Source organism: Homo sapiens, chromosome 6 (assembly GCF_000001405.40).
Source record: "Homo sapiens chromosome 6, GRCh38.p14 Primary Assembly".
Lineage (NCBI taxonomy): Eukaryota > Metazoa > Chordata > Mammalia > Primates > Hominidae > Homo > Homo sapiens.
The window spans coordinates 144,953,974-144,966,510 of record NC_000006.12 but is presented as its reverse complement, the minus strand read 5'-3'; the positions used below and the strand labels follow the sequence as shown (position 1 = coordinate 144,966,510).

Genomic DNA, 12,537 nt, shown 5'->3' with positions numbered 1-12,537 from the left:
TTGCAAATGAGGGATGGAAACACAAAGACTTAGTGATTTGCCTGATTCTATATGGCTGATAATTAGGGTGACCACATTATTTATCTTCTAAACCAGGATATTTTTGAGAATGAAAGGGGGCAGTCTTAATAACTACACTGGAGAGCAGGTGTAAATTGGGCCAATCCTGGGCCACGTACTGGTGGGATGTATTTTCCACCAGTACATGGGACAGAGTATGAACTGAAGCATAGAACTCCAGCCCACAAATTTGATGTTCTTCCAACTATACTGGATCTGGTCTTTCAGTCCAGCTGAAACTAAGAAATTCATGTGGAAAACAGTTCTTAGTCCATCCAAGAGTACTGTATTTAAAATAAGCCTTTAATGATTGCAAATAATATGTTTGCAAAATTTTAACGAATCTCAGAAAATGTTCAGTAAAAGTCACAGGCATTGAATCCATACAAATAAGATAAACTGGGCTTTAATTGCAGGTAATTTAGTTTTATAGTGAAAACCAAGGGGAATATAGATTCGATCAATTCTGTTTTGCACAGGAGGAATGAAATTAGGTATAGGACTCCATGCTATGACCTGTGATTCATGTGAACAAAGGGAATCTGCCACCAAGGGGATATGTGTGAGGGACAGAGCTTTTCCCCTGGACTTGTGAATAAGAGGGACCATGTAATTTATCGTCTAAACACTTTAGAGAGTGAAGGGGGATTCTACTTACAGATATTTCAGGAAAGCAAGTATAAATGTGTACTGCCACCTCGAGCAAACTGAGATGTATGATCATCGCCTATAAGGGGAGAAGAAGATTCTTTTTCTTATCCACCCACAGCAAATCATACTTAGGGAGAAATCAAGAGTCATGTCTACTTCACTGGTCCACGTTTATGTTTAGAAGAAAGTTTCAGTTAATGAGGATTTTCCCAGAAGATGCAATATTTTATCTTCGCTAAATTAACATGCTATCCAGAAACTTCTCTGATTTCTGTAATTGTAGGAAGAACTCTAAAGCAATCATAATTCCTGGAAAGGTTTTTTATTGTAAATAATGCAAATGTTTAATTTATTTATTAGTAAACGTTTGCTTATTTATATTATTAATAATGTATCTGCCCTAGACTATAACAATGTTACATGAAACTGGCTCCTTCCTTCAATAATAGCGCTGAATAATTCTTTAGAAATAAGTAACCAACTACTGAGGAAAATGACCAGTTGTTGTATTAAACCAGTATGCAGCAGGCCTATTTATCCCAGAGGTTAATCCAAACAACCTTGTATGTAACCAAGCCCACATCAGTACCTACTTTCCTAGTCTTTCAGTTCCTTAAAAAAAAAAGTGAAATTTTATTCAAAAGCCACTCAATAAAATATCAGCAGAGAACCGCTTGTAGAAAAGACAATTAATTTTGATATTGTTACAACTGTAGAAACTGGGCATCCTTTGCACATTTTTCTCAATACATAGTTCATAGTTCACTTTGTTTTTTGTTTGTTTTGTTTTGTGTTTTGTTTTGTTTTGAGATGGCGTCTCGCACTGTCAGGCTGGAATGCAGTGGCGTGATCTTGGGTCACTGCAACCTCTGCCTCCCACCCAGCTACTTTTTGTCTTTTTAGTAGAGGTGGGGTTTCACCATGTTGGCCAGGTTGGTCTCAAATTCCTGACCTCAAGTGATCTGCCCACCTTGGCATCCCAAAGTGCTGGGATTACCGGTATGAGCTACTGTGCCCAGCCTACATAGTTCACTTTGGTCAGATCATCCTGGAAGCCTGAAAATAGAAACCCCCTACCCGCAGAATGATTTTCAACCACAGTTGCTCTAACACAATTTCCTGGGTCTGATCATCCCAGGAAGAGGAACAAAGATTATGTGGGTCTCACTAATCACATTTCTAGTGTTCTCTGGGGAGCAATCAGAGAGATGAGCCCTTTGACTCCGTATGTGATCTGGGCCAAGTGTGATCATTGCCTGTGTTTCACATTGCCATTGGGCACACAAAAATGCTACTCTGAATGCCTGCTACCATTACGTACCCCAGACACGCAGAGACTCAAATGCAGATAGGATAAGAAGATACAGAAATAACCCCAAAACACTCAGTCTCAAGTGTTTGTAGCATAGCAAGATAGAAAAATAAGCCCAAATCAACACAACAGTAAAAATAGGAGCCTAGGACCTTTATTATAAGGATTATAGTAATAACAGGGACCATCTTCATTCTTTGTGTTGATGTTTCTTGTAGCAACTGTAACTAGAAACGTTAGGCCATTGCTGGTTTTCTAAGAGGTTGACTCTCACTCATGGATCTACCACTTCTCCTCCACAAGCCAAGAACCCAAGCAATTCTTCCCTCTGAATATACAGAGCAAGGATGTGATAGTGATTTTGCATATACCAAAGGCACTCAAATGTTTATATTTGCAGAGATGCTTCTTTGGTATGTATTCCAGTTATGTATGTCTTAAAACAAACCCTTGTTAATTTAGTAACATACAACTACGACAGTTTTATTATGCTCACAGATTTTGTAGGCAAGGACTTAGGAAAGTGCATAGCAGGGACAGCTTTTTTTTTTTTGCCCTACATTGTCTGGAGCCTCAGTCAGAAAGACTTCTGAGGCCGAGAAGTGGAGCAGCGAGGGTGAGGGGAGCCACTTCCAAAGTGGTGTCTTCATTTGCATGTCTGATGCATGGGCTAGGGTGAGTTGAAGGCTGGCTTGACTGGGACTGTGGACAGAACACCAACAAGTCATTTCTCCATGTGGTTTGAGTTTCTTGTGGCATAGAGACTGGGTTTTGAGTGGGAGTGTCCAAAAAAGAGAGCTCCAAGAGGACAGGTAAAAGCCACACAGCCTTTTCTGACCTAGCATCAGGGATCACCACCTGACCCACGGCAGCAGGGGTCAGAGAAGTTACAAATCCAACCAGATCCACAGGGAAGGGATGTGGACGCCATCTGCTAGTAGGAGGAGTGGCAAAGAATTTTTAGGCCATGTTTAAAACTGGCATGTATGATAGTAGCAAGCGGCTCTTTTTCCTTCATCTTTTTCATCAGAATTGCATTTGGAAGCTATTAAAATCACAATAGTAACAGCTATAATGAGCTGTATTTTTAAAATATGAAACAAGCTAAAAGATAATTTGTAAAATAAAAATAATATTATTGCCAGTAGTCTTGACACTTTGAATGTGGCAGTGGGGCTGAGAGTGCAAACAAGGAGTAGAGAAAAATACTAAATTCAAATTACTTACTCAGGACAACAGTCAAGGCAAACCCATGCAGGACATACTATGGGCCATTGCTAGACAGGTTTGTACTCTTTTTCTTGTCCACTCTGCTAATAGTGGAGGTTCAGGTGGTCAGAGCCTGACCTGCTGAGACATTACTCCACGTACAGCTACAGACACTCCTCAGCTTCTCAACTAAACCCTATCTTTAGTCTTACAGTCAGCAGTCATTTGTCTCTGTTTCTCTCATACTGGTTTTTGGGTAAAAATATGTTCTATAAAGATAGATAGTTATGTGGTTCCAGGAGACTGGATTGAGGGAACTGTGATTAGAGTCTTCAGTCTTGGTGTCTGGGCCCCTGGAGTTGATAACCCTTTTGTAATTCATAGTACTTTGTTATTGCTGGAGGCAGTGGTTGTCTTAGTAAGTTGCTATAACAAATTATTATTGACCTAACAAACGTTTGGTTGGGTGGCTTAAACAGCAAACATTTATTTCCCACATTTCTGAAGGCTGGGAAGTCCAAGATCAAGCACTGTAGGCTGTCTGGTAAGGACACTCTTCTTGTTTGCAGAGGGCATCTTCTTGTATCCTCCCATGGTAGAAAACAGGGGGACACTCCTTTTTCATAAGGGCACAAATTGCATCATAAGTTCCTCCCTTTTTGATTGAATTAAACTTAACCACCTCCGGATACCATCACATTGGGGGTTAGGGTTTCACCGTATATATTTTGAGGGGACACAAATATTCAATCCATAGGAGTGGTGATGGTGGTATTTAGCCCAGTGTTTTAATGGTGGTAGAAATGGTGGATCTGATCCCCTTTTTCATGCTGGTTATAGATAAATATTCCAGAGAACTAAGGACCACTCTCTTACCCACCCCACCCACTTTGCCTTTCTACCCTCCTCTAACCAGGAAAACTCAATGCTGTTCTTGGTCCCAATACATGGGGACCTAATGGAAGGAATCATAACTGTGTATATTCATGATTCAAAAGTTTATGATTTCTATGAATTCTAGCTCTGGGCTTTGCTTTGTGTATTACCTTGTACAACAGTTTTCCTATCTCAACCTGTTTCCCTATTGTTTTCCTTTGTGAAAATTGGTGAGAAAAGTATTTTATATGGTGGTTGTGTAGTTTAAGTGAAATTATACATGTAAAGTGCTTAGCATATTATAAATATGCAGGAAGTCAGTACATATTAACTTTTCTTAGCTACTATGACTCCAGTCCCAGCTGGAATTGATGATTTTAACTTTTCCCTCTCCCATTTTATATAATCACAAGTTTGAATCTTTATTTCTCCCCTAGAGCTATATCATTTCATTGCTTCATCTCTGATTGCCTCTGAATTTACAGAGAATATTTTTCTCTGAGGGTTACTCAGACATTCCCAAAGCTCACAATTGCCTTAGAGTCTTAGAGTCCTGAGTTGCGGGATGTAACTTCTCAATGTCCTTTCTTCTCCGCCCAACTTCCACTCCCTACATACACATAACACAGAGTGTGGCACATGAGAAGAGACGCTGGCCTGGCATCTTATCCTCCTAACAGCCCTCATCAAGAGCTACCACTCCCCTGCCACCATTCCCCTCAAAAAAAAGGGCCCATGTATGGTAGAGATGCTTTCTCAGTGATTCACACCACGGGCACCTGGGAACCAGATCAGAACTTACTCTGCTGATACAGTCTCCTATTCAAACAGCAACACATCAGAGTCCACACTTAGCAAGGACAAGTAATGAACAAGATGATCCCTCAGAGCCATGCCGGCTCGAATTTCCTGTGATGACAACATTTTTAATACTCATGAGCTATGGCCAGTGGTGCACCGGAGCCCACTTGCACTGGTTTACAAGCGCCAGTTATTAACTTTTCAGGATTTTCGTGAGTCAGTCATTAAATAAAGCCAGTATCGAAAGTTAAATTATATATACTTATAATCAAATGAATTATTAAAAATAACTATAACAATGTACAACTATTGTGTATCCACAATAATTTAAAATAAAAAATTAAAAAGCAAAGATAAATACCTCCAAATTCATCACATCCTAATTATTTAACTACATTTTCCTATTGTCTATGCCTTAGAGGTTCCTTATGTCTAGTATATCTGTATGGAATGAATAATATATGCTGATGTGCTATTGTGTATCTCTTCACAACTCTGCAATCAGTGATGTTATGTCGGTAGCTTTAAATTGGACATGGTGGCTACCAATCAGAGCTTGATTTACTCTTTTTCTGATAGTCTAGACATGAGAACGTGATGACAAACATGTTAATAATGCAGATTAAACTTATATGTCTGGTGCCATTACAATGTGAAGAGCACAAAAATATTGAGGACTATTCTCCCTGTATTTGAAGCAAAGGAGTTGCTCACATCATTGACACACTAAAAATTCTGGCACACATATTTATTTTTTCATTTCACTTTTGTCTTACTCATTAATGCCTATAAAAATATTAAACAACATTCATATGAGAATTACCTTCACTTATCAATTGCAGCCACAGGTTGGCTACATAAGGATAACAATTTCAGCAAATATCAACTACAGCATTCTATGAAAATCAATTTACAATGAAGAATATGTGTATTTTATTATTTTTTGTCAGTTGTGTGCTATGCACACAAATAAATAAAATATACATATAAATAAATAAAATTTGTGATAAACTTTTGTACATATATGTATGCATAGTTTTGTTTGTTTGTTTTTTCAGAAAGCCTGTTGTGAAACATTTACTAGACACCAGTGATGCAGTGACACTTTCTACTAGTTCCTTATAGAAGGGTCAGACAAAGCTTAGAGAATGTGTAAAGGATTCCAGAATTCCCAAGGTATAGATCTTGACTTCTTCAAATACTTGTGATGGCTTCTTTGCCTTATAGCATGACTATGATGTAATGAAGCTGATTTGATAACAACAGCCCACAGTTCTTGCTTACCCTAAGGAAGAAGCCCTGGTTTCAGGATACAACCAAAGCTCCAGGAGGCACCAGTTTCTCAGCATCTGCCTTTTTGCTTGCTTGTTGGTGAAGCATTAGGAAAAAGCAGCAAAGATTCTTTGCAAGATGTCCTAGGGAAAGAAGGTGCTGGATCTTCTGTCTCCCAATAACTTGTTAGGCCAGAGCCAGTGACACAAGCAGCTATTCTTGCTCCCAATATGAGGAGGCAAAGAACCTAGTAAGTTCCATCTGATCTGAGATCGTGTCTGATGTAAGCCCAAGGTGTAAGAGGAGACAGGGCTACAAGTGAGTGCAAAAAGGTCCTCAGGTGCACCTGATCTCCCCAGTAACCTGGCCAATGTGAGTAATAACAACCCCCTGGAGATGCAAAGGAAAGCGCAGAATGATCCAGCAGTCAAATGAGATGGCAAACAAAGAGCCCAGGAAAGCTAAATTTATGCCGTAAAAAGAGGAGACCCAGAAGGACATGGCACCTTCTTTCAAGGTACCAATAAAATTACAAAAAGAGAATTGTTGGTAGCATGGGTTAGTGGGAAAAAATGGAGATAGCATTTGATGCAAAGAAAGAAAACCTTTGCCTTTGATTATGGAAAATACTTTAGGAAAAAGTAATTCATAAGCTGTCTTCTAAGGTAAATAAGTTGAGTCTTTTTTAATGAATATTAAATAATGGGTTAAAGGATTACATCACACTAGGAAAATTATAATGCGGAACTTTCAAAATGAATGATGCTTTTACAAGAGAAGTTTTAATGATTCTATGCCAATAAGTTCTATAAATATGTTAGCTAATATTAAAACTATACCTTTATTTCATAGATTCATTGGTCTGTGATCATATTTTTCCTAAGGACATTGTTTGCACAATAGAAATCCGCATTTCCAGTTTCCTGTTTCTCATGATGACAAGCTCCTCATGTATGATATCATTGAATCACCTAACTGGGACTACAGACTGGATTTCATTATGATTGTTTGGGTTGTAGGATATTAGATTTTTACTCAGTAACTACACATCTTAAAAGGAGCACCATATTTAATGGCATGTACATTTACGATTTCTAAAAGTCTGGGCTCCAGAAGACTCTCTGAAAGAGTATACCTATTTCTAAGACTTGCAAATAGGCACCTTGTTCCCAAATGGAAATGAGTAAAACATTTAATGATTTTTAAATAATTTGTTACAAATTAGCCCCTTGATTTTAATTTTGAATGTGCAAGTTATCATGAATTTATTTAGGAAACATGGTTCAGATTGAAAACATTTAAACCCAGGTTCCACTTTCAGCCAAAATGAGAGTTTTGTTTAATTCTCTCAACATACACAAGTGGAAGGTGATGGAGGAGCAAGCCAGCATTTCACAGACCTTTCTACACCACAAACTGGAATGTTTGCAGAATATCAGTACTGTCCCTGCTGTAGTGGATGTAGGGGAGCTTGTCGGATGAACTTCCAGAGCCCATTCATTTGCCCTTTGTGACTTATATGCCAACATCAAAACCAGAGTGCTGCCTTTGCTGTACAACTAGTCCTGGCATGAGAGACTTGACACTCTTTCTTAGCAATCCTTATTTAAATGTGTTCTTATTTTGTCTAATCTAAATCTTAGATGCCATATTTTATACTTAATTATTTGGCCTTATCCATATGAGATATGAAAAGAAAAAGAAAATTATTTATTCTTTGCTTAACATTTCTTCCTGTATTTGAACTTCACCAATCAGTCTCTTCTGAATAGGCATAGTGTGATGGTTAATTTCATGTGTCAACTTGAGTAGGTGGTGGGAGCGGGGATAGAGGGGTATTGTTTCTGGGTGTGCCTGTGAGAGTGTTTCTGGATGAGACTAGCATTTGAACGGGTAGACTCAGTAAAGTACTTTCATAATGACATTTCAGTCAAGGATGGACAACATATACAATGGTGGTCCCATAAGATTATAATGGAGCTGAAAATTTCCTATTGCCTAGTGACATTGTAGCCATCGTAAGGTCGTAGCACAATTGCTTTTCTAAAAACTTATTAAAAATAAAGTTGAATGTGAAACACCCTCAGGCAGGTCCTTCAGGAGGTTTTCCAGAAAAAGGCTTTGTTATAGGAGGTGACAGCTCCAAGTCTGTTATTGCCCTTGAAAACCTTCCAGTGGGGTAAGATGTGGAGGTGGAAGACAATGATATTGATGATTCTGAATCTGTGCATGCCTAGGCAAATGTGTGTGCTTGTGTTTCAGTTTTTAACCAAAAATTTTAAAAGTAAAAAAAAAATTTAAAAATTTAAAAATAGAAAAAAATAAGAATAAAAAATAGAAAAAAGAGAATAGGATATAAAGAAAGAAAATACATACAGCTATACAATGTGTTCATATTTTAAACTAAGTGTTATTACAAAAGAGTAAGAAAGTTAACAAAATTTGGAAAGTAAAAATGTTACAGTAAGCTAAGTTTAATTTATTATTGAAGAAAGAAAACTTTTTTTCTTTTAGAAATGTAGTGTAGTTTAAGTGTACTGTATTTATACAGTCCACATTAGTGTACAGTAACATCCTAGGCCTTCACACTCACTCACTGACTCACCCAAAGCAACTTTCAGTCTTTCAAGCTCTATTTATTTTAAGTGTTCTATAAGATATACTATTTTTATCTTTTATAACTTTTTTCCCTGTATCTTTTCTATATTTAGATATGTTTAGATACATAAATACTTACCATTGTGCCACAACTGCCTACAAAATTCAGTACAGTAACATGCTATACAGGTTTGCAGCTTAGGAGCAATAGGCTATCCCATATAGCCTAGATTTGTAGTAGGCTCTGCCATCTAAGTTTGTGTAAGTACACTCTATGATGTTTGCACAATGACAAAATTGTCTAACAATTCATTTCTCAGTATCCTCATGGTTAAGCAATGCATGACTATAGATCATCCTCCCAAATCTGCGTGGGCATTATCCAGTTCACTGAGGGCCTGAATACAGCAAATGGTAGAGGGTGAGGAATTTGCTCCTTTTTTCCTACCTGTCTGCTTGAGCTGGAACATCTCTTCTTCTCCTGCCTTTCAACTGTGATTTCCCATGGTTAGTTTCCCAGATTCTCAGGACTTGGAACTCAGACTGAATTACACCACCAGCTTGCGTGGATCTCCTGCTTGCAGATGGCAGACCGTGAGATTTCTCAGCCTCCATAATGATGTGAGCCAATTCCTCATAATAACTCTATATACATAGATGGATAGATAGATGATAGATAGATAGATAGATAGATAGATAGATAGATAGATAGATGATAGATAGATAGATACATAGATACATAGATGATAGATGGATAGATGATAGACAGATAGATGATAGATGGATAGATAGATGATAGATGGATAGATAGATGATAGATGGATAGATGATGGATAGATAGATGATAGATGAATAGATAGATGATAGACAGATGGAAAGATAGATGATAGACAGACAGATGATAGATGGATAGATAGATGATAGATGGACAGATAGATGATAGATGGATAGATAGATGATAGACAGATGAATAGATAGATGATAGACAGATGGATAGATAGATGATAGATGGATAGATAGATGACAGACAGATGGATAGATAGGTGATAGACAGAGGTCTTCTTGACAATTGCCTGGTGTAGGCCTAACATTCTCAGTGTGTGTACAGAGGACCATTTACAAAGCCTTCACTTCAGACAGTTCCATGTTTCACAGAAGCCCTAAAGTTTAGTTGCTTAGGGACTTAATTTATTTCATGTGAGCCTAATATTAGTTGTGCCACTGTAGATTAGAGCTTTACACAACTTCAGAACCAGTCTCCAGTGAATGTCAAAATTCTCTTTTAATTGTGAGATGTGGAATATCAACTCCCAATAAATTATTCAACTTACCACAGTTAAATTTTCTTTAAGCCCATGGGTGTTATCTACATGCAGGCACATGGCCAAGCCAAAGTTGAACTATTAGGTTGGTGCAAAAGTAATTGCAGTAATTGAAGGTTTTGCCATTACTTTCAATGACAAAAACTGCAATTCCTTTTGCACCAATCTAATAGATTAAGAGATCACTGAAAGCGACCTAAGATAAAACTTGAAATAAATAATTCCCCTGCACTCCTATTCACAGGAAGATAATGAACTTCTTCACAACTCCCAACAATGTGTAGTGATATGTAAAGTAAAATTCTAGCAAGGACCAAGGCCATGAGTCATTGTCTGAATTCCCCCAAGCTGTATTTGCAGTCTCAGAGAGCATTTTTACTTGAGATACCATACCGCTTAACCAAAAGGAACTGGTGAGCATCTTAGGCAAATGCTAGAAAAGTTTGTAGTGGGTATTCAAATCGTCCTTATTTAAACCAGCAACAATCCCTTCCCACCTAAGCCATTCAGAATGCCTTTTGTTTATTTAAGGTGTAACATGCTGAAGGGAGTCTGGTCATGAGGGCTTCTCAACAGAAATAAAATAAATTGATGTAAAGTTCTTTTCAAAAACTTATTGGAAGAACATGTAACAATACCTGTTGAATACAAAAGGCACAGTTGAGGGTACAGAGGAAAAAAAAAGGAATCTTTATTGTTTCTCATGTTGGCCTTTCCTTCTATTTCTTGGGCAGATTTCATAGTTTCTCTGGTGTCTTTCACCTAATAATAAACAGTATCATCTTTTAAGATAAACAGACTAGTTCTGTCTAATGTCAAACTTCACTCTCAACCGATTTAAAGTTTTTCTGCCTCCTGACCTGAGCCTGCAGAAAGGAAGGGACAGGCCCTGCCTCACTTCGGAACTATTTCTTCACTGCCATCCTTCCCTCCTCCTTCCATCTCACTGTGCTACCTCTGGTGTCTGGGAGGAGGGGAAACAAAAGAGGAAAGAAGGAAGGAGGGCCAGATGTGGTGGCTCATGCCTGTAATCCCAACACTTTGGGAGGCCAAGGAGGGCAGATCACTTGAGGTCAGGAGTTCGAGACCAGCCTGGCCAACTTGGTGAAAACCCGTCTCTACAAAAAATATTTTAAAACTTAGCCAGATGTGGTGGTGTGCGCCTGTAATCCCAGCGACTCAGAAGGCTGAGGCACAAGAATCACTTGAACCCAGGAGGCAGAGGTTGCAGTGAGCTGAGATCGTGCCATTGCACTCCAGCCTGGGCAACAGAGTGACACTCTGTCTCAAAAAAATAAAAAAATTAAAAAAAAAAAGAAGGAGGGAAATGGCTCCCTTAACTAGTATCATGACAAACTATCCCCACAAAGTCCTCTGTTACACAGTTGGTTCTTTCTTTCCTGGGCCAATTCCAAAAACCTTTGGCCCCCTCTTTACAGAGACCTCTCACAGCTAGTCTCTGTGACCTATGTAGTCTCTGGCTAGACCCCTAGCCAAACCCCTCATTCCTGCCACCAGTGTGTGCCCCATGTAGGCTCTCTCTGCTGGGGTCCTTCCTGGGATCAGGCAGCCCATTGGAGTGGGACCCGTTTCAGGTCTGACCCTTGCTTTGTTCTTCTTCTGGCTCTCAGGAAAATACCCAGCCCCTTTGCCTGCCAAATCAGAAAATGCAGGTGGCCCTCTCCTTTCATGTTGCCATCAGGGGCAATGTCAGCCAGCTTCTCACCTTTGCCCTTTCCAGATAAGGACCAGACACAATCTCTGAAACTCTAGCTTAGGAGGCACAAGGAGAACAGAACTCAAGTTCTCCAAGAACCTTCTCTCCATTCTTTGCTCTGATCCTAAGGTCATCCCCGAATGGCATGGGGCCCCCATGTTTTGCATCTTAACGTACAGGGCATGAGAAGAAGACTGAGATGGCAGTCTCCTCCCTGGAAGACATCCCTCCCAACTCAGAGAGCATCTCTGTAGGCCCTCAGCTCCCTTCTTGGTGGACTAGCAAGCAATCCAATACCATCCTCTCCCAGTGAGGGCAATACAGCCAGCCATTCACTTATCTCAAGGAAATCCTCATCTTCTGCGTACATCAAGCACCCTCTTTAGAATGTAGGGTATTTGCCACTTACTGCTCTTAGCTCTGAGGCCTCAACCACAAGTAAACCAGCAAGAATAGTCTCATTTACCATCCTGTTACAAACGTTTGCTCGATTCAGGCCCGCCTTCCATTGTCTATCCCTCCGGAGGATCTGCTCAGAGTCTGCATTCTTATTATGTGGCTCACCCTCATCTCCAATGACCTGAGGTTGAAAGCAATGCCTTTGAATGCCAGCCACATTCTTTCATGGCTGCTAGAAAGACACCACAGGTCATAGCCAGCCTGTGGCACACTTACCAATCTGATTAAAAAAAAAAAAAAAATGGGTGGGGGAGTGTCCA

The 12,537-nt window shown here is 39.3% G+C and overlaps 1 annotated feature.

Annotated features, from left to right (window-relative positions):
• Window positions 11,379–11,878: an enhancer, noted in NCBI's record as "H3K27ac hESC enhancer chr6:145275769-145276268 (GRCh37/hg19 assembly coordinates)". NCBI's record gives its function as "activates a minimal SCP1, AML or CMV promoter by ChIP-STARR-seq in naive H9 embryonic stem cells {active_cell/tissue: H9 hESC(naive)}" and the evidence as "EXISTENCE:reporter gene assay evidence [ECO:0000049][PMID:30033119]".